This window comes from Homo sapiens, chromosome 16, assembly GCF_000001405.40.
Source record: "Homo sapiens chromosome 16, GRCh38.p14 Primary Assembly".
NCBI lineage: Eukaryota > Metazoa > Chordata > Mammalia > Primates > Hominidae > Homo > Homo sapiens.
The window spans coordinates 9,060,316-9,087,729 of record NC_000016.10 but is presented as its reverse complement, the minus strand read 5'-3'; the positions used below and the strand labels follow the sequence as shown (position 1 = coordinate 9,087,729).

The 27,414-nt window shown below is 46.1% G+C and overlaps 4 annotated features.

Annotated features, from left to right (window-relative positions):
- Positions 10,482 to 10,571: an enhancer, noted in NCBI's record as "active region_10372". NCBI's record gives its function as "activates an Ori minimal core promoter by ATAC-STARR-seq in GM12878 lymphoblastoid cells {active_cell/tissue: GM12878}" and the evidence as "EXISTENCE:reporter gene assay evidence [ECO:0000049][PMID:35858748]".
- Positions 14,758 to 14,807: an enhancer, noted in NCBI's record as "active region_10371". NCBI's record gives its function as "activates an Ori minimal core promoter by ATAC-STARR-seq in GM12878 lymphoblastoid cells {active_cell/tissue: GM12878}" and the evidence as "EXISTENCE:reporter gene assay evidence [ECO:0000049][PMID:35858748]".
- Positions 14,828 to 14,887: an enhancer, noted in NCBI's record as "active region_10370". NCBI's record gives its function as "activates an Ori minimal core promoter by ATAC-STARR-seq in GM12878 lymphoblastoid cells {active_cell/tissue: GM12878}" and the evidence as "EXISTENCE:reporter gene assay evidence [ECO:0000049][PMID:35858748]".
- Positions 18,861 to 20,060: an enhancer, noted in NCBI's record as "P300/CBP strongly-dependent group 1 enhancer chr16:9161527-9162726 (GRCh37/hg19 assembly coordinates)". NCBI's record gives its function as "activates an origin of replication core promoter dependent on BRD2, BRD4, P300/CBP, MED14 and CDK7 cofactors, with strong dependence on P300/CBP, by STARR-seq in HCT116 cells {active_cell/tissue: HCT116}" and the evidence as "EXISTENCE:reporter gene assay evidence [ECO:0000049][PMID:35650434]".

Here is a 27,414-nt window from a genome sequence, read left to right as displayed (position 1 = left end):
TGAGCCGAGATCGCGCCACTGTACTCCAGCCTGGGCAACAGAGCAAGAATCTGTCTCATTTGAAAAAAAAAAAAAAAAAAGGCCGGGCTCGGTGGCTCCCACCTGTAATCCCAGCATTTTGGGAGGCTAAGGCAGGTGAATCACCTGAGGCCAGGCATTGGAGACCAGCCTGGCCAACATGGTGAAACTCCGTATCTACTAAAAATACAAAAATTAGCTGGGTGTGGTGGTGCATGTCTGTAATCCCAGCTACTTGGGAGGCTGAAGCAGGAGAATTGCTTGAACCGAGGAGGCGGAGGTTGCAGTGAGCCAAGATCATGTCACTGAACTCCAGCCTGGGCGACAGAGTGGGACTTCGTCTCAAAAAAAAAAAAAAGATGAAAGCTCATGAGATTCTGAATCAAGCGATCTATCTGCCCTTAATGATATTAGAATTATTCACATTTCAAACAGCAGATGTTTATATAATTGTAATAGCCATGAAAATGTGCTACATTCCTTTTATATATGCTGTCTTTTTTAGCAGTTGTCAAATTATAAGAGTAGTGCACACTTACATTAAAAAGTTAAAAATACTCTCGCCAGGCGCGGTGGCTCACGCCTGTAATCCCAGCACTTTGGGAGGCCGAGGCGGGCGGATCACGAGGTCAGGAGATCAAGACCATCCTGGCTAACACGGTGAAACTTAGTCTCTACCAAAAACACAAAAAATTGACAGGGCGTGACAGCGGGCGCCTGTAGTCCCAGCTACTCGGGAGGCTGAGGCAGGAGAATGGCATGAACCCAGGAGGCGGAGCTTGCAGTGAGCCAAGATAGTGCCACTGCACTCCAGCCTGGGCGACAAAGCGAGATTCCGTCTCAAAATAAAATAAAATAAAATAAAAATAGACCAGGAGCGGTTGCTCAGGCCTGTAATTTCCGCACTTTGGGAGGCTGAGGCAGGAGGATCACTTGCATACAGAAGTTTGAGACCAGCCTGGGAAATATAGGGAGACCCAGTGGCTACACGAGAATAAAAAATTAGCCGGGCACAGTGGTGCTCACCTGTACTCCCAGCTACTTGAGAGGCTGAGGCAGGAGAATCACTTGAGCCCAGGAATTCAAAGCCAGCCTGGGCAACATAGCAAGACCCCATCTCAAATAAATAAATAAAAATAAAGACTATGGCAAGGCACAGTGGCTCACGCCTGTAATCCCAGCACTTTGGGAGGCTAAGATGGGCGGATTGCGAGGTCAAGAGATCGAGTCCATCGTGGCCAACATGGTGAAACCCCATCTCTTACTAAAAATACAAAAATTAGCTGGGCATGGTGGCACACGCCTGTAGTCCCAGCTACTTAGGAGGCTGAGACAGGAGAATCGCTTGAACCGGGAGGCAGAGGTTGCAGTGAGCTGATATCACACCACGAACTCCAGCCTGGCAACAGAGCTAAACTGTTTCAAAATAGAATAAAATAAAGACTGTAACAATGAAGGAACCATGGGAATTTGAATGTCCTTACTTTGAAACAGATTCTTTTCACATACATTTATTGATATGTAATTCACACAGCCTACAGTTCGCACATTAAAGTATATGATTCAGTGGTTTTTAGTATATTCACAGTTATGCAATTATTACCACTATCTAATTACAGAACACTTTCATCACCCTTAAAAGAACCCCCTCACTAGGCCAGGCGCGGTGGCTCAGGCCTGTAATCCCAGCACTTTGGGAGGCCGAGGAGAGTGGATCACGAGGTCAGGAGATCGAGACCATCCTGGCTAACATGGTGAATCCCCGTCTCTGCTAAAAAATACAAAAAATTAGCCGGGTATCATGGTGGGCGCCTCTAGTCCCAGCTACTCGGGTGGCTGAGCCAAGAGAATGGCGTGAACCCCGGAGACAGAGCTTGCAGTGAGCCAAGATCGCGCCACTGCACTCCAGCCTGGGAGACAGAGCGAGACTCCATCTCAAAAAAAAAAAAAAAAAAAGAACCCCCACCCCCTCATCATTACCAGTCACTCCCCATTACCCTCCCCTGAGCCCTTGACAAGCGCTAATTACTTTCTCTCTGTTTGGATTTGCCTATACTGGACATTTAATATAAATTAGGTTATAAAATATTTAGCCTTTTGTGTCTGGCTTCTTTCACCTAACATAGTTTTTCCAAGGTTCTTCCTTGACATAACATGTATCAGTACTTTATTCTTTTTATGGCCAAAGAGTATTACAAATATTTCATATTTCATTGCATATATACATACACATACCCCAATTTGTTTATCTAATCATCAGTTGATGAGCACTTAGATTACTTCCAATTTTTGACTATTATGAATAATGTGGTTATGCATATTCACATACAAGTTTCGCGTGGACATATGTTTCCATTTCTCCTGGCTCTACACCTAGAAGCGGAATTGCTGGGTCACAGTGTAACTATATTTAACTCATTGAAAAACTGCCAACCTGTTATGCAAAATAGCTGCACTATTTTACGTTTCCACTAGCAGTGCACAAGGGTTCCAATTTCTCCACATCCTCGCCAACGCTTGTTATTGTGTCCTTTTTTTTTTTTTTTGAGATGGAGTCTCGCTCTGTCGCCCAGGCTGGAGTGCAGTGGCCAGATCTCAGCTCACTGCAACCTCTGCCTCCCTGATTCAAGCAATTCTCCTGCCTGAGGCTCCCGAGTAGCTGGGATTACAGACACACGCCACCATGCCTGGCTAATTTTTTTATTTTTTCAGTAGACATGGGGTTTCACCACGTTGGCCAAGCTGGTCTCAAACTCTGGACCTCAGGTGATCCGCCTGCCTCGCTCTCCCGAAGTGCTGGGATTACAGGCATAAGCCACCGTGCCCAGCATCTTTTTTGTTTTGTCTTGTTTTGTTTTGTTTTTGGAGACAAGGTATTCCTCTATTTCGAAGGCTGGAGTGCAGTGGCTATTCACAGAGCGATCCCACTACTGATCAGCATGGGAGTTATGACCGCTTTGTTTCTGACCTGGGAACCCCCATCCTTAGGCACAGCCCTTCCTCCTGCCTCAGCCTCCTGAGTAGCTGGGACTACAGACACACGCCACCACAACCAGCGCCTGTCCTTTTTATTATAGCTATCCTAGTGAGTGGGATGTAGTATCTCACTGTGGTTTTAATTTGCAATTCCCTGTTGCCTAATGATGTTGATCATTTCTTCATGTGCTGTGGCATTTGTTTATCTTCTTTGAAGAAATGTCTATTCAGGCGGGGCATGGTGGCTCATGCCTGTAATCCCAGCAATTTGGGAGGCCGAGGTGAGAGGACCACTTGAGGTCAGGAGTTTGAGACCAGCCTGGCCAACATGTTGAAACCCCATCTCTACTAAAAAATACAAAAAATAGCTGGGGGTCGTGGCACGTGCCTGTCATCGCAGCTACTAAGGAGGCTGAGGCAAGAGAATCACTTGAACCCAGGAGATAGAGGTTGCAGTGAGCCAAGATTGTGCCACTACACTCCAGCCTGGGCGACAGTGCAAGACTCTGTCTCAAAAAAAAAAAAAAAAAAAAACAACGAAATGTCTATTCATGTATTTCACTCATTTTTAATTGGGTTGTCTTTTTGTTATAGAGTTGTCAGAGTTTTTATGTATTCTACATAATAGTCTCTTATCAGATAAATGATTTGCAAATACATTCTCCCATTCTGCGAATTGCGTTTTCACTGTATTGATGCTGTCCTTCGAAGCACAAAATGTTTTCAATTTTCATGCAGTACAATTTATCTATTTTGTCTTATGCTGCTTATCATCACAGTTTTTTAAATTGAGGTAAAATGCACATAACATGAAATTAACTATTCCACATACATTTCAAAAAATGTATGAGCCGGGTGCAGTGCCTCACACCTGTAATTCCAGCACTTTGGGAGACTGAGGAGGATGGACGACTTGAGGCCAGGAGTTCAAGACCAGCCTGACAAACGTGGTGAAACCCCATCTCTACTAAAAACACAAAAATGAGCCAAGCGTGGTGGCACACACTTGTAGTCCCAGCTACTCAGGAGGCTGAGGCATGAGAATCACTTGAGCCCAGCAAGCAGAGATTGCGGTGAGTGGAGATCACACCACTGCTGCACTCCAGGCTCAGTGGCAGAGTGAGACTCTGTCTCAAAAAAAAAAAAAAAAAAGTTAAAAAAATTTTTTTTTTTGAGACAGAGTCTCGCTCTGTCACCAGGGCTGGAGTGCAGTGGCACGATCTTGGCTCACTGCAACCTCCACCTCCCTAGTTAAAGCGATTCTCCTGCCTCAGCTTCCCGAATAGCTGGGACTACAGGTGCTCGCCACCAAGCCCAGCTAATTTTTGTATTTTTAGTAGAGACGGTGTTTCACCATGTTGGCCAGGATGGTCTCCGTCTCTTGACCTCTTGATCCACCCGCCTCGGCCTCCCAAACTGCTGGGATTACAGGCGTGAGCCACCACGCCGAGCCAAGTTAATTTTTTTTTTAAATGCAAGTAACTTTTTTTAAAAAAGAATGTCTAGGAAAGTATTTTCGAAATATTATATTATTGCAATCCAAAGAGAGGAAAAATGAACACGATTATCGTTTATTGAATACTAACTAAGCACCTTGCACAGAATTAGGTCATCTATATCAGGGGTTTTCAACTGAGTGCAACTTTGCTCCCTCAGGGGGCATTTGGTAAAGAATGTCTGGAGGGCCAGGTATGGTGGTTCACGCCTGTAATCCCAGCACTTTGGGAGGCCGAGGCGGATGGATCACCTGAGGTCAGGAGTTCGAGACCAGCCTGACCAACATGGAGAAACCCCATCTCTACTAAAAATCCAAAATTAGCCCGGCATGGTGGCACACGCCTGTAATCCCAGCTACTTAGGAGGCTGAGGCAGGGGAATTGCTTGAACCTGGGAGGTGGAGGTTGTGGTGAGCCGATATTGCGCCATTGCACTCCAGCCTGAGCAACAAGAGTGAAACTCCGTCTCAAAAAAAAAAAGAATGTCTGGAGACATTTTGATTGCCATAACTTGGGGGTTGGGGGTTGCTGCCACATCTAGTGGGTAGAAGCCAGGAAGGCTGCTAAACATTCAACAATGTGCGTAACAGCCCTCCACAACAAAGAATTATCTGGTCCAATGCATCACCAGTGCTGAGGGTGAGAAACCATGATCCATACGCATTATCTCATTTTTCTTCACACCTGCCTAGTGGCACAGTTACTGTCAATTGTCACCATTTGTAGGTGAGGAGACTGAGGCTTAGAGGGGGTAGATAACTCATGCAAAACCCCACAGCTGGGCCGGGCACGGTGGCTCACGCCTGTAATCCCAACATTTTGGGAGGCCGAGGCAAGTGGATCACCTGAGGTCAGGAGTTCAAGACCAGCCTGGCCAACATGGTGAAACCCCGGCTCTACTAAAAAATACAAAAATTAGCCGGGCATGGTGATGCACACCTATAGTCCCAGCTACTTGGGAGGCTGAGGCAGGAGAATCACTTGAACCCGGGAGACAGAGGTTGCGGTGAGCCGAGGTCACGCCACTGCACTCCTGCCTGGACGACAAAGTGAGACTCTGTCTCAAAAAAAAAAAAAAAAATTGGGGTCTCTGGGCCCTATTCAGAGCTCTGGAACAGAATCATCTCCAGGTATGAGGCTCTGGGGTTGTATTTCTGAAAGACCTCTGGTTTGTTGGCTGCCTACCAAGTGCAGTACCCATGTGATAAACACATCATGGGGTTGTTAAGGCTGGTTTCAGACGTGCCCGAATCAAGTCTGACTTTTTTTCTCTAGCCTAGACCATGCTTTTGATTATTTTATTTTATTTTATATTATTTGTTTTGTTTTGTTTTGTTTATGAGACAGAGTCTTGCTCTGTCACCCAGGCTGGAGTACAGTAGCAGCAATCTTGGCTCACTGAAACCTTCGCCTCCTGGGTTAAGCAGTCCTGTCGCCTCAGCCTCCCAAGTAGCTGGGATTACAAGCATGCGCCACCATGCCTGGCTACATTTTTTTTGTATTTTTAGTAGAGACAGTGTTTCACCATGTTGGCCAGGCCGGTCTCAAACTCCCGACCTCAAGTTACCCGCCCTCCTTGGCCTCCCAAAGTGCTGGGATTACAGGCGGGAGCCACCGCGCCTGGCCCTTGATTATTTTAATTACAAATGAGAAACTTCAAGAAACTCAGAGACAGAAACCAGCCAGGAAGTATCTCCATTTATTTCCTCTCAGATAATATTTAGTAATTGTCTTAGTCCATTTTGTATTGCTATAAAAAAATACCTCAGACTTGGCAATGTGTAAAGAAAAACAGTTATTTAGCTCATGGTCCTACAAGCTGAGAAGGCCAAGGGCATGGCCCTGACCTCTGGGGAGGGCTTCTGTGCTGTGTCACAACATGGCAGAGAAAGTCAAAAGGGAAGTGGACATATGTGAAGAGAGGAAAACCTAAGAGGCTTCCTGGCTTTATAACAAACCACTCTCAGAGGGACTAATCCAGTCCCACGGAAATCAATTCAGTTCTCACTACTGCAGAAACAGCACCAAGCCATTCATGAGGGATCTGACTCAATAACCCAACATCTCTTATTTGGCTCCACCTCCCAACACTGCCACATTGAGGATCAAATATCTTTTCTTTTTTTTTTCTTTTTGAGACGGAGCCTCACTCTGTCGCCCAGGCTGGAGTGCAGTGGCACAATCCTGGCTCACTGCAACCTCTGCCTCCCAGGTTCAAGCAATTCTCCCTGCCTTAGCCTCCTAACTGGGATTATAGGCACCCATCACCATGCCCAGCTAATATTTGTATTTTTAGTAGAGATGGGGTTTCTCCATGTTGGCCAGGTTGGTCTCGAACTCCTAAACTTCCAGTGATCCACCATCCTCGGCCTTCCAAAGTGCTGGGATTACAGCCTTAAGCCACTGCACCCGGGCCAGGATCTACCTTTTGAAGGTAGGAATGTCATAGAATTGGGTAACCTGGCTAGGCATGGTGGCTCACACCTGTAATCCCAGCACTTTGAGAGGCCAAGGCAGGTGGATTACCTGAGGTCAGGAGTTCGAGACCAGCCTGACCAACATGGTAAAACCCCGTCTCTACTAAAAATACAAAATTAGCCAGGCATGGTGGCGCATGCCTGTAATCCCAGCTACTCGGTTGGCTTTCGCAGGAGGTTTGCTTGAACCCGGGAGGCGGAAGTTGCAATGAGCCGGGAGATTTTTAGTAGAGACGGGGTTTCTCCATGTTGGTCAGGCTGGTCTCCAACTCCTGACCTCAGGTGATCTGCCCGCCTCGGCCTCCCAAAGTGCTGGGATTACAGGCATGAGCTACCGAGCCCATCCTAGGGCCCCTTTTTGAATATCTCCCCTAGGGCAGAAATGGCAAGCTCATAATTGAATCCAGTCACAACTCACTTCATTTGTTCTTCTGATCGTACTTGTTTCTTTCTAAAGTCTTGTTTTATTTATTTTTATGACTTTTTAATGTTTTATTTATTTATTTATTTATTTATTTAATTTTTTTGAGACAGAGTCCCGCTGTGTTGCTCAGGCTGGAGTGCAGTGGCACGATCTCAGCTCACTGCAACCTCCGCCTCCCGGGTTCAAGCGATTCTCCTGCCTCAGCCTCCCGAGTGGCTGGGATTGCAGGCACACACCACCATGGCCGGCTAATTTTTTTGTACTTTTAATAGAGATGGGTTTTCGCCATGTTGGCTAGGCTGGTCTCGAGCTCCTGACCTCAGGTACTCTGCCCTGGGATTACAGGCATGAGCCACTGTGCCTGGCCCGACGTTTTTTTATTTTATAGAGGTGGTGCTGCACTGTGTTGCCCAAGCCTGGTCTCCAACTCCTAGGTTCAAGCAATCCTCCGACCTTGGCCTCCCAAAGTGCTGGGATTACAGGTGTGAGCCACCATGCCGGGCCCTAAACTCTTCTTTTGAATAAAAGCGCAGATAGCAAACAAAATTAAATTTTAAATAAAGAGCTTTTTTTTAACAGAAATCAAAAGGCTTATATGTTCTCCTCCCCTTGTTATGAAATGCACCTTACCTTGGGCAAGCAAATTCTACCTGTCTTAAAAAAGCAATAGCAAATACTGCCAGTCTCTTCTCTATGAAACAGAAAAACTTTTACCCGGAAGTGCTAAGTAGGCCAGACGTGATGGCTCATGCCTATAATCCCACTGCTTTGGGAGGCCAAGGTGGGAGGATCACTTGAGCCCAAGAGTTAAAGACCAGCCTGGGCAACATGGTGAGACCCCCGCCTCTATAAAAAAAATGTTAAAAATTTTTTTTAATTTAGTTTTTTTCTTTAAATTTTTAACCTAATGGAGAATAGTAGATTTTCCTAATGGAGGAAATACTAGATTTTCCTAAGGGTGTCTCAACAGTGAGCATGTAATGGGATAATGTATGCATAATGGAGTCCACTAGCTCCCTTCCTAATATCCATTCCCCCATTATTCTTTGCTAGCAGAGTCTGAATTTTATTCAAGTGAGCAATGTGCCCATCTTAAGGACTACACTTCCCAGCCTCCCTTGCAGCTAAGGGAGGATGATGAAATAATAAGAGGAAGTCATTGGGTGGGGTTTCCAGGAAAGCTATTTAAAGGGAAATGACTTAGCTTGCCTCTGGCTCTTGCTACTTCCTTCTTCCCGCTGCCGGGAACACAAGCAAAACGTTGAGGGCTGCAGCAGCCATCTTTGACCATGAAGTAACCTTAAGAAAGGAAGCCATGTGCTAAGAATGGTGGAGAAGAAAGGAGGAAGTGCGTGATGAATTTGTCAACATCCCTGGACTACCTAATTCCAGACTTTTTTAAGTAGAGAAAAATAAACCTCTAGTTTATATAAGCAACTGTGGTCATGTCTCTGTACGAACTAAACACAATTTATTCATCCTTATAATATGTAAAGCTTGAGAACTAAATTCTGATTTTTTTTTTATCTTGCCCAAATTCCTATCTAAGGGGTCTGGGGAGTCATGCCCTACAAACCGTAAATTCTCATCAGATGGGTTTTATTTAACCCTATATATGTCTTGACTTACTTTTCAGCCTGACTCTGGCATAACATGAGGATGCAAGGAAGAAAATCAAAATATTTTACCCCCAAAACATGTTTCTTTGTAACATTTTGAAATGGCCCTGCAACCAGTCCTTTGTTGAGGGAAAATTCACATCTGTAAAGAATCCCTATTAACATAGCTAGACGTTTTCCTTCCAGGCCCCTCCAATTCTGAATAGAGTAAGTGAGAGTCTAGCACCTTTTAAAGTTTCTGAAAAGGAAACGTGTGTCATCTATTGTTTCTAAGGGCAGCTGCTATGAGACTTGAAAAGAACCTTGGTCTCCACGATCTGTTTTTATTTTATTTTATTTTATTTTTTCCTTTGAGGTGGAGTCTTACTTTGTTGCCCAGGCTGGAGTGCAGTGGCTCGATCTCGGCTCACTGCAACCTCCGCCTCCCGGGTTCAAGCGATTCTCCCTCCTCAGTCTTCCAAGTAGCTGGGAGTACAGGCGCACACAACCATGCCTGGCTAATTTTTGTATTTTTAGTAGAGATGGGGTTTCACCATGTTGGCCAGACTGGTCTCAAACTCTTGACCTCAGGTTATCTGCCTGCCGCAGCCTCCCAAAGTGCTGGGATTACAGGCGTGAGCCACCGTGCCCAGCCCACAATCTTTTATCTTAAGCTGAACATTTCCTTTCTATTGATACCAAGTCCTTAGACAAAAACTCAACCAGTTGTCAACCAGAAAATGTTTAAATTTACCTATAGCCTGAAAGCCCCTCCCCCCCCAACTTCAAATTGTCCCACCTTTCTGGAACAACTCAATGTATTCCTTAAATGTATTTGATGGATGTTTCATTCCTCCCTAAAATATATAAAACCAAGCTGCAGCCCAACCACCTTGGGCACATGTTCTCATGACCTCCTAAGGGCTGTTATGGGTCATGGTCACTCATATTTGGCTCAGATAAATCTCTTTAAGTATTTTACGTAGTTTAACTCTATTAACCGACAAGCTCTTGGCAATTTGCAGATTTCTCAATACATGTGATGTTTTGTAGTTTGAGATCTGCGGTTGTTCCTCATTTTTACTTTCATCTTGCTTTTACCCACTGTGTTTATGCACCTTTTCTCCATTACAGCCTCGTGTCCCTTCTGAAGCTGGTCCTCAGCCTAGAACAGTAGCTGCAAGTTGCTGCCGGTTATCAGATAGTACTCAGGATAAGAATGTGATCGCTCATCCTGACTCTGCTATCTGAGGGCTGAATCACAGGCAATTAAATGCATTTTCAGAAAGACTGCCTGTGGCCTTGCCCGACTTGTGGCCACTCTGTGGGTGGTTCTCTGAGCCTGGATTGGAGGCAGACCCTGGGCTGGAGATGTGCTTCATTCAGCACGATGACAGTGCCATGGAGGAAGGTGCCACCTATAGACTGTGTCTCAGGTCTCTTGCTTCTGATGACTAAACAGTTCCCCAATTTTCCTGAAACTGTGTTCTAAAAGTGGCATGGCTCTGAAAACAAAAAGACTCAGATTCATGGGCCAACCCAGGTATCACATGAGGACCAGCTTCTTGACGAGCCAAGACATCTATATGATAGAGCTACACTCTCTGACCACAACCGGTGTACAAAAATAGCAGTAACACAGGCTCTCGTATTCAAATACAGACTTTGGTTCTGGAGGTCTGGGAGTCTGCATTAATTAATTAATTAATTTAATTTATTTGTTTATTTTTGAGACAGGGTCTCACTGTGTCACCCAGGCTGTAGTGCAGTGGAGCAATCATAGCTCACTGCAGCCTTGAACCCCTGGGGTCAAGCAATCCTCCTGCCTTAGCCTCCAGAGTCCTAGGATGACAGACTTGCGCCACCATACCCAGCTAATTTTTTGTTTTAATTTTCTGTAGATGTGGGGTCTCCCTATGTTACCCAGGCTGGACTCAAACTTCCACCTCAAGCCATCCTCCTGTCTTGGCCTCCCAAAGTGCTGGGATTACAGGCATGAGTCACCTTGCCCAACTCAATGGTTTCCTTTTTTTTCTTTCTTATTTTTCACTTTGTTTCTTTCTTTTTTAAGAGAGGGTCTCACCCAGGTTGGTGTGCAGTGGCATGATCTCAGCTCACTGCAGCCTCGACCTCCCGTGCTCATGTGATCTTCCCACTTCAGCCTCCTGCATAGCTGGGACCACAGGAATGCAAACAATGCCTGGTTCATTTCTTATTTTCTGTAAAGATGAGGTCTTGCTATGTTGCCAGGTTGTTCTCAAACTCCTACACTCAGGCTATCTGCCCACCTGGGTCTCCCGAAGTGCTGGGTTTACAGTCGTGGGCCACCACACCCGGCGGTGGTTTCCACTATGTATCTAATCCCACTGCTCTCCATTCGAATTTTAGCAGTTTTCCTTCCAGTCTTTTATTATTTTATTTTTTGAGACGAAGTTTTGCTGTGTCACCCAGGCTGGAGTGCAGTGGCATGATCTCAGCTCACTGCAACCTCCGCCTCCCGGGTTCAAGCGATTCTCCTGCCTCAGCTGGGATTACAGGTGTGTGCCACGACACCCAGCTAATTTTTGTATTTTATTAGAGACAGGGTTTCTCCACGTTGGCCAGACTGATCTCGAACTCCTACCTCAGGCGATATGCCTGCCTTGGCCTCCCAACGTGCTGGGATTACAGGCTTGAGCCACTGCCCCAGCCACCTTTCAGTCTTTTATATTGACAGAAGTATTTCCACTGTTGTGCTAGCACCAGCTCCCATGGGCTTGGATAGGCAGCTGTGCATGTCTCTATTCTGCTCCTCCTTCAGTGACATCACAAGGTAGCTTGAAATCAGCCATGGTGGGAGTATTTACACCATAGAAATTGGCAAATGCTACTCTATAAATCAGGGATTTTCTTTGCACAGTCAGTTGTTAAACATTTACCAGCACTTCACTGATTTTATTATCATCAGGTTTACCCTGTCATTCCACTCTCCCCTATTTCACTTCTCCGACTATTTCATTTTCCCCTACAGTATACCAGGACCTTCACCCTAGTGAAGGAAGACAGACGATACATAAGTAAACGTGGAAACAAACAAGATCATTGTAAGTAGTGATATAAAGTAGGGAGAAAATTAAAACAGGTGATATGTTGAATAGACTCCTCTTACCGTTTTATCCCCCACATCATGTCATAAACATTTCCCTAAGTTCTAAAAATGTCTTAGCTGGGTGCAGAGGCTTGTTTCTGTAATCCCAACACTTCAGGGGGCCAAGGTGAGAGGATCGCTTGAGCCTAGGAATTCAAGACCAGCCTGGGCAACATAGCAAGATCCCACCTCTGTAAATAAACAAACAAATAGATAAATAAATAGAAATGTTAAAAAGTTTTAAGGCACATTCTTCTCAATGACTACATAATAGTTATTCCTTGTAAGAATGTTCTACTTTATTTAAGCAGTCCCCTGGAGTTCAGAGTTGCCCAACCTCAGCACTATGGCTATTTTGGACCAAAATAATTATTTGTTGTTGAGGGCTGGGCTAAGCGCTTTAAGCTGTTTAGCAACATCCCCGGCTTCTACCCACTAGAGGCTGGTAATACCCACCCCACGCAGCTTCTTGCAGTAATGACAACCAAAAATGTCTTCTGGGGCGACAAAATCACGCCAGTTGAAGATCACTACTATAATTGGACATTTACCACTTTTTTTGTTGCTGTTGTTTGTTTTTTGTTTTTGTTTTGAGACAGGGTCTCATTCTGTTGTCCATGCTGGAGTGCAGTGGTGCCATTTCGGCTTACTGCAACCTTCGCCTCCCAGGCTCAAGCGATCCTCCAGCCTCAGCCTTCTGTGTAGCTGGGACTGTGGGCGCTCGCCACCACGCCCAGCCGATTTTAGCATTTTTTTGTAGAGATGGGGTCTCACTATGTCACCCAGGCTGGTCTCAAACTCCTGGGCTCAAGTGTTTCGCCTGCCTTGGCCTCCAAAAGTGCTAGGATTACAGACATGAGCCATGGCACCCAGCCCACTTACCACTTTATTACTTCTTCTTAGTATTATTTTTGAGATGGAGCCTCACTCTGTCACCAAGGTTGGAGTGCAATGGTGTGGTCTCAGCTCACTGCAACCTCTGCCTCCCCAGTTCAAGCGATTCTCCTGCCTCAGCCTCCTGAGTAGCTGGGACTACAGGTGCGTGCCACCACACCTGGCTAATTTTTGTATTTTTAGTAGAGACGGGGTTTCACTATGTTGGCCAGGCTGGTCTCGAACTCCTGACCTCATGATCCACCCACCTTAGCCACCCATAGTGCTGGGATTACAGGCGTGAGCCACCATGCCCGGCCTCATTTACCACTTTAAACTGGCAAAAATAGGCCAGGCATGGTGACTCATGCCTGTAATCCCAGCACTTTGGGAGGCTGGGGCAGGAGGATTGCTTGAGACCAGGAGTTCAAGACCAGTCTGAGTGACACAGTGAGACCCCCCATCTCTACAGAAAATTTTAAAAATTAGCCAGGCGTAGTGGCTCACACCTGTAGTCCCAGTTACTTGACAGGCTGAGGCAGGAGAGTCGCTTGAGTCCAGGAGTTCTAGCTGCAGTGAGCTATGATGGCGACAATGCACTCCAGCCTGGGCAATAGAGTGAGACCACATCTCTTTAAAAAATAAACAAATAAACTGGGCTGGGCACATTGGCTCAGGCCTGTAATCCCCATCTCTACTAAAAATACAAAAATTAGCAGGGCGTGGTGGCGCGTGTCTGTAATCCCAGCTACCCAGGAGGCTGAGACAGGAGAATTGCTGGAACCCGGGAGGCAGAGGCTGCAGTGAGCCAAGATCTCACCACTGCACTCCAGCCTGGGTGACAACAGCGAGACTCTGTCTCGAAAAAATAAAAAATAAACTGGCAAAAATAAGGTTCTGATAGGAAACCTTGTTTTGTATGGGAAATGAGGGTCTCAGAATGTGGCCCCAGGACCAGCAGCTTCAGCGCCATCTGAGATCTTGTTAGAAATAAAAATACTCAGGGCCAGATATGGTGGCTCATGGCTGTAATCCCAGTACTTTGGGAAGCCAAGGCGCGCGGATCATCTGAGGTCAGGGGTTTAAGACCAGGCTCGCCAACATGGTGAAACCGTCTCTACTAAAAATACAAAATTTAGCAGGGCGTGGTGGCGGGCGCCTGTAATCCCAGCTACTCCGGAGCCTGAGGCAGGAGAATCACTTGAACCCCGAGGGCAGAGGTTGCAGTGGGCCAAGATCGCGCCACTGCACTCCAGCCTGGGTGACAGACCAAGACTCTGTCTCAAAAAAAAAAAAAAAAGAAAAAAGAAAAAACAAGAAAATACTCAGGACTTCTCCAGTTACCTGGAATCAGAATCTCCAGGGTTGGGACCCGGCAATCTCGTAACACATCCTCCAGGGGATTCTGATGCAGGCTCCCATTTGATAACCACTACATGAGGGGGCTTAGAAGTCGGTTTCAGAAATGAAAATCATGTTTGAGGTTGGTTAGGTCCTGCAATACCTGGTTGTGGTTGCATCATAATGACGTTTTCCCCTCTGGCTGATTCATGGCAGATCTAGATGATTAGTGCAAATTAGCTGTGTTCAGGTGTGCTTTTGACTTAAGTACCACCTTTCAGCTCAGGATTACCAAACACCACTTATTTTTATCCAGGGAGGTTCTAAGAGGCTCTGGGGCCAGCGAGAAAGTTAAGAATAGAAAGCAAATGGACCGTCTGACTGGGCTCTAACCACCACGTTGTGATTCACCACGGCATGTAAACCTTGGTTCTTTAAATAAAGAACATTTGGGTCTTTTCAGAAACTGAAAACCACAGACTACAAAGCTAAGCCAAAATGTACTGCTCATAGCTATATCTCATGCTTGTTGCCATCTTGTGAAATGTGCTATCATGAATTCAGCTGAGAATATGAACTGTTTTCCTTGTTGGGGCTCATGCTACCCCAAAATATGGTACCTTGGCATTTGAAAAAAACAGCAGAAGCAGGAAGATCCCTCTCATCTTCCCTTTGCCTTCTCCCTTCAAGCAAAAAAGCCATAAAACACAAAAAGGATTCTCTGATCTTCCTTTAGAACAGATCGTAAGACCTGTCAGAGGTACACACCCTGTACCTGGAGGAAAGAAACATCCTTGTGTCTGAAGACACAGGGAAAAGCCTAAACAAAAAGGCCTTGCCAACTTCCAGCCAGTTTATTCCCATTAGGTCATAGCCCCGGTGTCCAGTTATCCTTCTCCATGGCTGTCCACTCTTCATCAAACCTAAGCATAAAATAGACAGGTTTCTGACCAGGTGCGGTGGCTAATGGCTATAATCCTAGCACTTTGGGAAGGCAAGCTGGGTAGATCTCTTGAGTCAAGAGCTGGAGACCAGCCTGGCCAACATGGTGAAACTTCATCTCTACAAAAAGTACAAAAATTGGCTAGGCATGGTGGCTCATGCCTGTAATCCTGGCACTTTGGGAGGCCGAGGCAGGCAGATCACTTGAGGTCAGGACTTCGAGACTACCCTGGACAACATGGCAAAATCCTGTCTCTACTAAAAACACAAAAATTAGCCAGGCATGGTTGCATGCACATGTAATCCTAGCTACTAGGGAGGCTGAGGCAGAAGAATTGCTTGAACCCAGGAGATGGAGGTTGCAGTGAGCCGAGATCTTGCCATTGCACTCCAGCCTGGGCGACAGAGTGAGATTCTGTCTCAGAAAAAAAAAAAAGGACAAAAATTAGCCAGGCGTGATGGCGCACACTTGGGGTCCCAGCTACTTGGGAGGCTGAGGTGAGAGGATTGCTTGAGCCCGGGAGGCGGAGGTTGCAGTCAGCGGAGATTGCACCGTTGCACTCCAGCCTGGGGAAGAAAACGAGACTGTCAAAAAAAAACAAAACACACACACACACACACACACACACACACACACATACACACGCAGGTTTTCCTGTTTCTAGATCTTCATTTCTGAAGGTTCTCATGTCACATTAAACTTATATTAAATGCGTGTGTTAATCTGTCTTTCATTGTGGGGACTCAGCCATGGACCTAGCAATGGGTGAGGAAAGATCTTTCCTTCCCTACATCTCCCGTGGTTCCTAAATGGGGTTTGTCGAAACAAAAGGAACACTGGTCTAGTGGTTCTCCATTGTGGCATCACTGTCCCATTCAAGCTGACGTTTGTAAACAGAGAGTGGGTGTTGGGTTGTCATCGTGATGTGATCTCTGGCATCCAGTGGGTGGCTGCCAGCATTGCTCGCCATCTTATAGGGTGCAGGTGATAATGTAAAATGGTACAATCACTTTCAAAAATAATTTGAGATGGCCGGGTGCGGTGGCTCATGCCTGGAATCCTAGCACTTCGGGAGGCAGAGGCAGGCAGATCATCTGAGGTCAGGAGTTCAAGACTAGCCTGGCCAACATGGTGAAACCCCATCTCTACTAAAACTGAACGTTTATGTCAGCCCTATGCATAATCACCAAAAACTGGAAATGACCCGAATGTCCAGATGAACAGATAAACAGGCTGTGATACATTCACACAGTGGACAATTTACTCCTCATCCATCAAAAGGAATAAACTATGAGTACACAATACAACATAGATGAGGCTGGGTGCGGTGGCTCACACCTGTAATCCCAGCACTTTGGGAGGCCAAGGCGAGTGGATCACCTGAGGTTAGGAGTTCGAGACCAGCCTGGCCAACATGGTGAAATCCTGTCTCTACTAAAAATACAAAAATTAGCCACGTGTGGCGGTGTGCACCTGTAATCCCAGCTACTCAGGAGGCTGAGGCAGGAGAATCGCTTGAACCCGAGAGGCAGAAGTTACAGAGAGCTGAGACTGTGTCACTACACTGCAGCCTGGGCCATAGGGCGCACAGAGGGAGACTCCATCTAAAAAAAAAAAAAAAAAAAAAAAAAAATATATATATATATATATATATATATATATATATATACATACACGGAGAGAGAGAGAGAGAGAGAGATGAAACTCAAAATAATTATGCTGGGTGAAAAAAGCCAGACACAAAAGAATACATGCATTATAATTCATTCCCTTCACATAAAATTATAGAAAATGCAAACTAATCAGTCTATAGCCACAGGAAAAAAACAGATCAAACCATTTGCCTGGGGATGTGTGGAAGGGCCAGGGGGAAGTGAAGGAGGGATTCGATTCCATTTGAATTCCCCTTGGGGTGACAAGGAAACAGGCTGGGTGATAGCCGTGTTAATCAGCCCTCCAAAGGGCAGCTCACAACCTGGCAGCTGGCTCTTTAGGGCAGAGGGAGAGTGCAAAAGAGAGTGTCCAAGAGGTGGAAACTACCATTGTTCATAATCCACTCTCAGGGGTGACATCCATCACTTCTGCTGTATCCTATTCATTTGAGATAAGTCAGTCAATCCAATGCACACTCGAGGGCTGGATGTTACACAACAGAATGAATTCCAAGAGGCGTTGGATCTTTGGGAGCTCTCTTAGAGGCTGCCCACCTCACGTAACAAATGGGAACATGCAGAAGTATGAAAGCAGACACATGCAGTGTTCTCCCTCTCTGCCCAAATGAGGGCACATTAATATTGGCCTCGCAGGTCAGAACCACTTCACAAGGACATTTTCTTTCCTCCTTAAAAAAAATACCATCGGCCAGGCACAGTGGTTTACGCCTGTAATCCCAGCACTTTAGGAGGCCAAGGTGGGCGGATCACCTGAGGCCAGGAGTTCGAGACCACACTGACCGACACGGTGAAATGCCGTCTCTACTAAAAATACAAAAATTAGCCGCGCGTAGTGGCGGGCTCCTGTAATCCCAGCTACTTGGGAGGCAGAGACAGGAGAATTGCTTGAACCCAGGAGGCAGAGGTTGCAGTGAGCCAAGATTGTACCACTGCACTCCAGCCTGGACAACAGAGCAAGACTCCCTCTAAAAAAATAAAAATAAAAATAAAAAATAGCATCGACCGGGAGCTGTGCCTCACGCCTGTAATCCTAGCACTTTGGGAGGCCTAGGCGGGCAGATCACTTGAGTTTAGGAGTTTGAAAGCAGGCTGACCAACATAGTGAAATCCTGTCTCTACTAAAAATATTTTAAAAACTAGCCGGAGGCTGGGCACAGTGGCTCACGCCTGTAATCCCTGCACTTTGGGAGGCCGAGGTGGGCGGATCACCTGAGGTCGGGAGTTCGAGAGCAGCCTGACCAACATGGAGAAACCCCGTCTCTACTAAAAATGCAAAATTAGCCAGGCGTGGTGGCGCATGCCTGTAATCCCAGCTACTCGGGAGGCTGAGGCAGGAGAATCGCTTGAACTCAGGAGGCAGAGATTGCGGTGAGCTGAGATCGTGCCATTGCACTTCAGCCTGGGCAACAAGAGTGAAACTCTGTCTCAAAAAAAAAAAGAAAAAAAAAAATTAGCAGGGTGTGGTGGCAGGCATCCGTAATCCCAGCTACTTGGGAAGTTGAGGCAGGAGAATTGTTTGAACCCAGGAGGCAGAGGTTGCAGTGAGCCAAGATCACATCATCATTGCACTCAAGCCTGGGCAACAGAGTGAGACTCTGTTTCCAAAAAATAAATAAATAAATAGCATCATTTGTCCTGTCCCAGTGGTCATAAGAGCTGATGATGCTGATGTAGTTGGCAGTATGTGTTTCTGTGGTTTCTCCAGCAGCTAAAGCAACAGCTTGTTTGAAGAGAACAGAAGCATAAAAGTGTGGTGGGATGAAAGATGCCAGGGGTGTGCCCGATTCCCCAAACAGTCTGGATTATCTTCTAGAAATATTCATCGCTATGTTGTACTGCTCAGGACAGGCTATGCTGCTGTAAATGAACAAATGAAAACAATACAATTATGTACACCTGGCAACATGGTGGTTGATGCCTGTAGTCCCAGCTATTTGGGAAAGTGAGACAGGAAGATCACTTGAGGCCAGAAGTTTGAGACCAGCCCGGGCAACATAGTAAGACTCTGTCTCAAAAAAAAAAAAAAGTATATATATATATATATATATACTCGCACACACATATATTTAATAGGCTAAACACCACAAAAGTTTATTTCATGTTCAGGCAAAGCAGGCTCTGGGTCCATACCACTCTCCAGGGCTTCTGCCTTCCACGTGATGACATGTGGTGACTCAGGGATCCAGGCAGCTTCTATCTTGTGGCTCCACGCTTTCAGTACAAGGCCTCCTCTATGATGAGCAAGATGAAGCCTGGAGAATCTTGCAGGGGCCTCAGAAAGGAAATGACACATCACTTATGATTCATATTCTATTGGCCAGAATTAGTCACGTAGCCCTGCCTAACTCAAAGTCATTGGGAAGGTACTTCCATACACTGAAAAAGGAAGGGAGAACTGGATATTGGGCAGTGTGAATATCAATTACGTATGGCAAGGAGGAGATTGAATGCAGACACTAATATTCAGAGGTGAGTATTCTTACCTGCTGTTAAAGCTGGGTAGCCTCCCACTTTGGGAGGCCAAGGTGGGTGGATCACCTGAGAACGGGCTCCTGTAATGGACACCTGTAGAGTAGCTGGGAGTTCGAGACCAGCCTGGCCAACATGGTGAAACCCCGTGTCTACTAAAAATACAAAAATCAGCCAGGAATGGTGGCACAGGTCTGTAGTCCCAGCTACTTGGGAGGCTGAGGCAGAAGAATCGCTTGAACCCAGGAGGCAGGGGTTGTAGTGAGCCGAGATCGTGCCACTGCACTCCAGCCTGGGTGACAGAGCAAGACTCTGTCTCAAAAAAAAAAAAAAAAAAAAAAAAGCTGGGGAGCCTGGCTGCTTCAAAATTAATTACAACATTTTAACAGAAAGCCCCCACCCCCACGACACTCACACACACAATTTCACATGTTATATTTGTTACCTGAAAAAAACAGGGTTCGGTTCACCGAAGTGAGTGGCAAATGACTCTCCATGAGAACGTAGGGTTTGTGTAGTTGTTGCTGTTGCTGTTGTTTTATTTAATAGAAATAAGGTCTCGCTGTGTTGTCCAGGCTGGTCTTGAACTCCTGGGCTCAAGCGATCCTCCTACCTCAGCCTCCAGAGTAGCCAGGACTACAGGCATGTGCCACCAAGCCCAGCTAATTTATTTTTTATTTTTCATTTTTGAGAGGAGTCTTGCTCTGTCTCCCAGGCTGGAGTGCAATGGCACGATCTCAGCTCACTGCAACTTCTGCCTCCTGGGTTCTAGTGATCATCCTGCCTCAGCCTCCCGAGGAGCTGGGATTACAGGCCCATGCCACCATGCCCAGCTGACTTTTGTATTTTTAGTAGACATAACGTTTCGCCATGTTGGCCAGGCTGGTCTCGAACTCCTGACCTCAAGTGATCCACCCACTTCGGCCTCCCAGAATGCTGGATTACAGGCATGAGCCACCATGCCAGGCCAGTAGTTTTTGTTTTTGTTTTTGTTTTGTTTTGAGACAGAGTCTCGCTATGTCTCCCAGGCTGGAGTGCAGTGGCGCGATCTCGGCTCACTGTAAGCTCTGCCTTCTGGGTTCACGCCATTCTCCTGCCTCACCCTCCCGAGTAGCTGGGACTATAGGCGCCTGCCACCACGCCCAGATAATTTTTTTTTTTTTGTATTTTTAGTAGAGACAGGATTTCACTGTATTAGCCAAGATGGTCTCGATCTCCTGACCTCTTGATCCACCTGCCTCAGCCTCCCAAAGTGCTAGGATTACAGGCGTGAGCCACCACGCCCGGCCACCAATAGTTTTATTACATGGCAGAAGTAAGGAGGACAGCTGGGAGTATTCTCGAAAGCAGTGTCTCTCTGAGGGAAAGTGACAGAAGGGTTTTATGCGGTGATGGAGAGGGGAGATGGTGCGTCATTCCACATAGAGGAGGGGTCTCCATGGCACAGACTCAGTAAGTAATCATGCCAGCACCTAGGTCACATGCGATGGTCACAAGCTATAGCTCCTCCCAGGGTGGAGACGTGAGCATGACAATCAAGCAAGTTCATTCGGGCTCAGGTCTGTAATCTCAGCACTTTGGGAAGCCAAGGAGGGTGGATCACTTGAGGTCAGGAGTTCCAGACGAGCCTGGCCAACATGGTGAAACCCTGTCTCTACTAAAAATACAAAAATTAGCTGGGTGTGGTGGCGTGCACCTGTAGTCTCAGCTCCTTGGGAGGCTGAGGCAGGAGAATCGCTTGAACCCAGGGGGCGGAGGTTGCAGTGAGCCGAGATCACACCCCTGCATTCCAGCCTGAGCAACAGAGTGAGACTCCATCTCAAAAACAAAAACAAAAACAAAAAATGATGTAACATATATATATATAAAGATAGAGTTAAGGCACAAAGAGGTTTCTAATCAAATTGATGGGCTTTTTCCACATCAACAACCAATTCTCCAATTCTCCACACACCAACTGGGTGTCCAGCAATGCAACGTAATGCAATTCTGATGCTGCCCGGGGTTAGCCTCAAACCCCACAGATGAAGGGCTTCGTCCCACAAGACTGCCCCACTTCAGGTGCCAATCCCAAGTCTGGGGCATCCATACTTCTGACTGACCAGACATAAATTGGGGGTTCCCACAAGCCCCTCATTAGGTTCAGTAATTTGCTAGAACAGCTCATAGAACTCAGGAAAACGCTGCACTTAATATTACTGGTAAAGACAGGGGAGCGGGGGCTTGGAGCTTCCATGACCCCTCCAGGTGTGTTGCTCTCCCAGCACCTGGATGTGTTCACCAACCCAGAAGCTCATGAAACTCATTGTTCAAAAATGTATTTTAGCCAGGCATGGTGGCTCACGCCTGTAATCCCAGAAGTTTGGGAGACCGAGGCAGGTGGATCAACTGAGGTCAGGAGTTCGAGACCAGCCTGGCCAATATGGTGAAACCCCGTCTCTATTAAAAATACAAAATTAGCTGGGCATGATGGCCTGTACCGGTAATCCCAGCTACTCAAGAGGCTGAGGCAGGAGAATCTCTTGAACCTGGGAGGCAGATGTTGCAGCGAGCCGAGATCGTGCCATTGCACTCCAGCCTGGGCAACAAGAGCAAAACTCCGTCTCAAAATAAATAAATAAATGAACAAACAAAACTATAAAGTGCAGATAAATGAGAAGACACAGCCAATCAAACTAGTGACCGACCACCCAAAAACAAGTGTAACGTAATATTTTCATAGATATCTTTCCATTACATTTTCTATGCATATGTGTTTTATAAAATTAGAATTTTCCTTTACATACTATTCTTAATTTTTTCTTTCTTAAAAATTATATCTTTAGAGGCAGGGTCTTGCTCCGTTGTCCAGGCTGGCATGAAGTGGCACAATCATAGCTTACTGCAGTCTTGAACTTCTGACTCAAGTGATCCTCTCACCTCAGTCTCCAAAGTAGCTGGGATTACAGGCATGAGCCACCATACCCCACTAATTTGCCTTTTTTTTTTTTGGTAGAGGCAGGGTCTTGCTATGTTGGTCAGGCTGGTCTCAGACACCTGGCCTCAAGTGATCCTCCTGCCTCAGCCTCCCAGGGTGCTGGGATTCTAGGTATGAGCCACTACACTTGTTTTTGTTTTTGTTTTTGTTTTTGTTTTTGTTTTTTGAGACGGAGTTTTGCTCTTGTTGCCCAGGCTGGAGTGCAACAGCGTGATCTTGGCTCACCCCAACCCCAGCCTCCCGGGTTCAAGTGATTCTCCTCCTTCAGCCTACCAAGTAGCTGGGATTACAGGCATGTGCTGCCACGCCTGGCTAATTTTGTATTTTTAATACAGACGGGGGTTTCTCCATGTCGGTCAGACTGGTCTCGAACTCCTGACCTCAAGTGATCCACCCGCCTTGGCCTCCCAAAATGCTGGGATTACAGGCATGAGCCACCACATCTGGCCCAGTTTTTTGTTTTTTGTTTTTTTTTACTTAATAAATCATGACCATCTTTTTATGTTCTCATCCCTTTTTTTTTTAGACAGAGTCCTGCTGTGTCATTCAGGCTGGAGTGCATGGCACCATCTCGGCTCACTGGAACCTCCACCTCCTGGGCTTAAGTGATTCTCCTGCCTCAGCCTCCCAAGTAGCTGAGACTACAAGCACGCACTACCATGCCCAGCTAATTTTTTTTTTTTTTTTGAGGCGGAGTGTCGCTCTCTCGCCCAGGCTGGATGGAGTGCAGTGGCACAATCTCAGCTCACTGCAAGCTCTGCCTCCCGGGTTCATGCCATTCTTCTGCCTCAGCCTCCCGAGTAGCTGGGACTACAGGCACCCGTCACCACGCCCGGTTAATTTTTTGTGTTTTTAGTAGAGATGGGGTTTCACCGTTTTAACCAGGATGGTCTCGATCTCCTGACCTCATGATCCGCCCACCTCGGCCTCCCAAAGTGCTGGGATTACAGGTGTGAGCCACTGCACCCGGCCTAATTTTTGTATTTTTAGTAGAGATGGGGTTTCACCGTGCTGGCCAGGCTGGTCTCAAACTCCTGACCTGAAATGATCTACCCGCCTTGGCCTCCCAAAGGGCTGGGATTACAGGCATGAGCCATTGAACCTGGCCTATGTCTTTACATCCTTTTAAAGTAATTGTTTGGAATTGGATTGTGGAGTTGTGTCATCAACATTAAAGCTAATTTTCTGTTTGGGAGCACTTGGGCTATTTTCATCCCTTGGTTCCCACAAATAATATTATTTATTTATTTTATTTACTTATTTTTATTTTATTTTTTGAGACAAGGTCTGGTTTTATTGCCCAGGCTGAAGTGCAGTGTTGTGATCTCAGTTCACTGCAACCTCTGCCTCCCAGGCTCAAACGATCCTCCCACCTCAGCCTCCTGAGTAGCTGGTACTACAGGCACACCACCATACCTGGCTAATGTTTTAAAAAATTTTTGTAGCAGTGTGGTTTTGCCATTCTGCCCAGGCTGGTCTTGAACTTGTGAACTCAAACAATCTGTCCACCTCAGCCTCCCAGTGTGCTGGGATTACAGGTGTGAGCCACCTCACCCGCCTTTGTTTATTTTTCATACAGGGTCTCTCTGTCACTCAGGGTGGAGGACAGGGTGCAATCATGGCTCACTGCAGCCTGGAACACCTGGGATCAAGCAATTCTCCCTCCTCAGCCTCCTGAGTAGCTGGGACTACAGGTGTCAGTCACTACACCCAGCTATTTTTTTTTTTTTCACAGAGACATGGTCTCGCTATGTTGTCCAGGCTTACAAATAATATCATTATGAGGGGTTTTTCTTAGCTAAATCTTTGCATGCACATTTGTTTTCCTCATATAAATTTCTTTCTCTTTTCTTTTCTTTTCTTTTTTTTTTTTTTTTGAGATGGCGTTTTGCTCTTGTTGCCCAGGCTGGAGTGCAACGGTGTGATCTCAGTTCGCCGAAACCTCCGCCTCCCAGATTCAAGCGATTCTCCTGCCTCAGCCTCCCGGGTTGCTAGGATTACAAGCATGCACCACCACGGCCGGCTAATTTTGTATTTGTAGTAGAGACTGGGTTTCTCCATGTTGGTCAGGCTGGTCTTGAACTCCTGACCTCAGGTGATCCACCCGCCTTGGCCTTCCAAAGTGCTGGGATTATAGGTGTGAGCCACCAAGACTGGCCTCCTCATATGAATTTCTAAAGGTAGAATTGATGGATTCACATGGCATATTTTATTTTATTTTATTTTGAGACAGAGTCTCGCACTGTCACCTGGCCTGGAGTGCAGTGGCGTGATCTTGGCTCACTGCAACCTTCACCTCCCGGGTTCACTGGATTCTCCTGTCTCAGCCTCCCGAGTAGCTGGGATTACAGGCGCATGCCACCATGTCCGGCTAATTTTTTTTGTATTTTTAGTAGAGACGGGATTTCACTGTGTTTGCCAGACTGGTCTCGAACTCCTGACCTCACGTGATCCACCCGCCTTGGCCCCCCAAAGTTTTGGGATTACAGGCGTAAGCCACCGCGCCCGGCCTCAGATGGCACATTTTAAGGCTTTGGATATGAATTGCCAAAATCTCTCCTGATTTCCCTCTTTCCTTACCCCAGACAGCCAATGAAACTTCTGTTTATCTACATCCTCACTAACACTGGATGTTAAATATGGGTTTAAAAAATCTCTGCAAATTGCTTCAGCATGATATTCTTTTTTTTTTTTGAGATAGAGTTTCCATTGCCCAGGCCACGGGGTGCAGTGGCACAATCTCAGCTCATTGCAGCCTCTGCCTCCCGCATTCAAGCGATTCTCCTGCTTCAGCCTCCTGAGGAGCTGGGATCGCAGGTGCGGGCCACCACGCCTCATTAATTTTTGTATTTTTAGTAGACACGAGGTTTCACCATGTTGGCCAGGCTGTTCTCAAACTCTGACCTCAAATGATCTGCCTGCCTTTGCCTCCCAAATTGCTGGGATTACAAGGCATGTGCCACAGCACCCAGCCAGCATGATATTCTTAATGTAATAAAATGTCTTCTATCTGAAAAAAACATAAAAAGCCTTTATTTAAAGGATGAACTAAAATCAAATAGGTTAAAACTAATCTTCCTTTAAGTAGATCTATGCAGCAAAAATTATTAAAATGGCCAGGTGCGGTGGCTCACGCCTGTAATCCCAGCAAGTTGAGAGGCTGAGGTGAAAGAATCGCTGGAGCTCAGGAATTCGAGACCAGCCTGGGCAACATGGTGAAACCCCGTCTCTACAAGAAATACAAAAATTTACTGTTCTTGATAGCACACGCGTGTAGTCCCAACTACTCGGGAGGCTGAGGTAGGAGGATGGCTTGAGCCTGGGAGGTCGTGGCTGCAGTGAGCCATGTTCATCCCACTGCACTCCAGCCTGGGTGACAAAGCAAGACCCTGCCTCAAAAAATAAACTAAAATAAAATAAAAAGTTTCTTATTAATGAAAAAAAAAATCAAGGCACACCCAACTGTAACAATTGGGGCCACTTAAAAAAAAAACACAAGCTCTCTTACCTCTGGCTGTAAGGACACAGGCTATTCTGATTTTATCACCAGGAAAACTGCCCATGAGGAAGCTGAGCCCAGCTGTGGCACTTTGGGTTGCCAGGGAAGCTGTTGGCTGAGCTGAGAATAAACATAAGTGATTCTATTCTCAGTAAGTGGTTCTAACCGCTAACCATCCTTCCTTCCCCTTCTGTATATCTATATTATGTTTGGGCCTAAATCATGCTGTCTGGATGAATCCTGATTCTACGAGGCTTTTAGTTTTGATAAACACAGTATTGGGAAATTTCCCAGTGGATCTGCGTGAAAAGAAAAATCTGACTTTGCTTTAACAGGTGCCTAACTTCAACATTAATGCCAGTGCTTATGACTAAGGGGATCCGATGATGCAAGGGTAAACTGGAGTGTCAGACTTCCAAATGACATGGAACTTTAGGTGACCTCTAAGACACTGGCTTGTGAGTGTGCAACAGTGCAGAGACCCAAGATGCTGCTTTTGCAGAAACACCTGGGATATTGACATATTAAATGAAAAATAACCACCCCAGGCTGGAGATGGTGGCTCACACATGTAATCTGTAATCCCAGCACTTTGGGAGGTCAAGGCAGGAGGATTGCTTGAAGCCACGAGTGCAAGACCAGCCTGGGCAACAAAGTGAGACCCTAACTCTACAGAAAGGAAGAAAGGAAGAAAGGAAGCAAGCAAGAAAGAAATAAAGAAAGAAAGAAAGAAAGAAAGAAAGAAAGAAAGAAAGAAAGAAAAGAAAGAAAGAGAGAAAGAGAGAGAGAGAGACAGAAAGAGAGAAAGAAAGAAAGAGAGAGAGAACTACCCCAAACTTGGGAGTTAGCATCTTTCAAAACTGTTTTTTGTTTTTTTGAGCCAGAGTCTCATTCTGTCGCCCAGGCTGGAGTGCAGTGGCCCGATCTCAGCTCACTACCACCTCCACCTCCCAGTTTCAAGCCATTCTCATACCTCAGCCACTCAGATAGCTGGGACTACAGGCAAGCACCACCATACTTGGCTAATTTTTGTGTTTTTTAGTAGAGAAGGGCTTTCACTTTGTTGCCCAGGCTGGTCTCAAACTCCTGAGCTCAGGCAATCTGCCCGCCTCAGCCTCCCAAAGTGCTAGGATTACAGGCATGAGCCACGATGCCTGGACATGCAAAACTTTATATTAGGAGAAATTATAATTGAAGAGGTTAAAGTCACAGGGAAAAAAACAGGATAGTGAGCATCACAGCCAGTAGATATTCTGATAAATAGCTTAAGTTCACTAAAATTACTTTAACAACAATAAAAACAGCAATGGGTGACATTTTTTGCACATGTTGCAATATTATGCTTATTTTCCTTTTCTGAAAAACCCTGTGACCCCTCTCCCCATAAAAATCATATATTAAGGCTGAGGCTGAATCATACTGGATAAACCAATTGGAAAGGTTTGACTCAAACCAAGAAAAGAAGAAAGAGCCAAATTTTTTTTATTTTATGAGTTCCCAAGTAAGCTTTTGAAATTCATGGC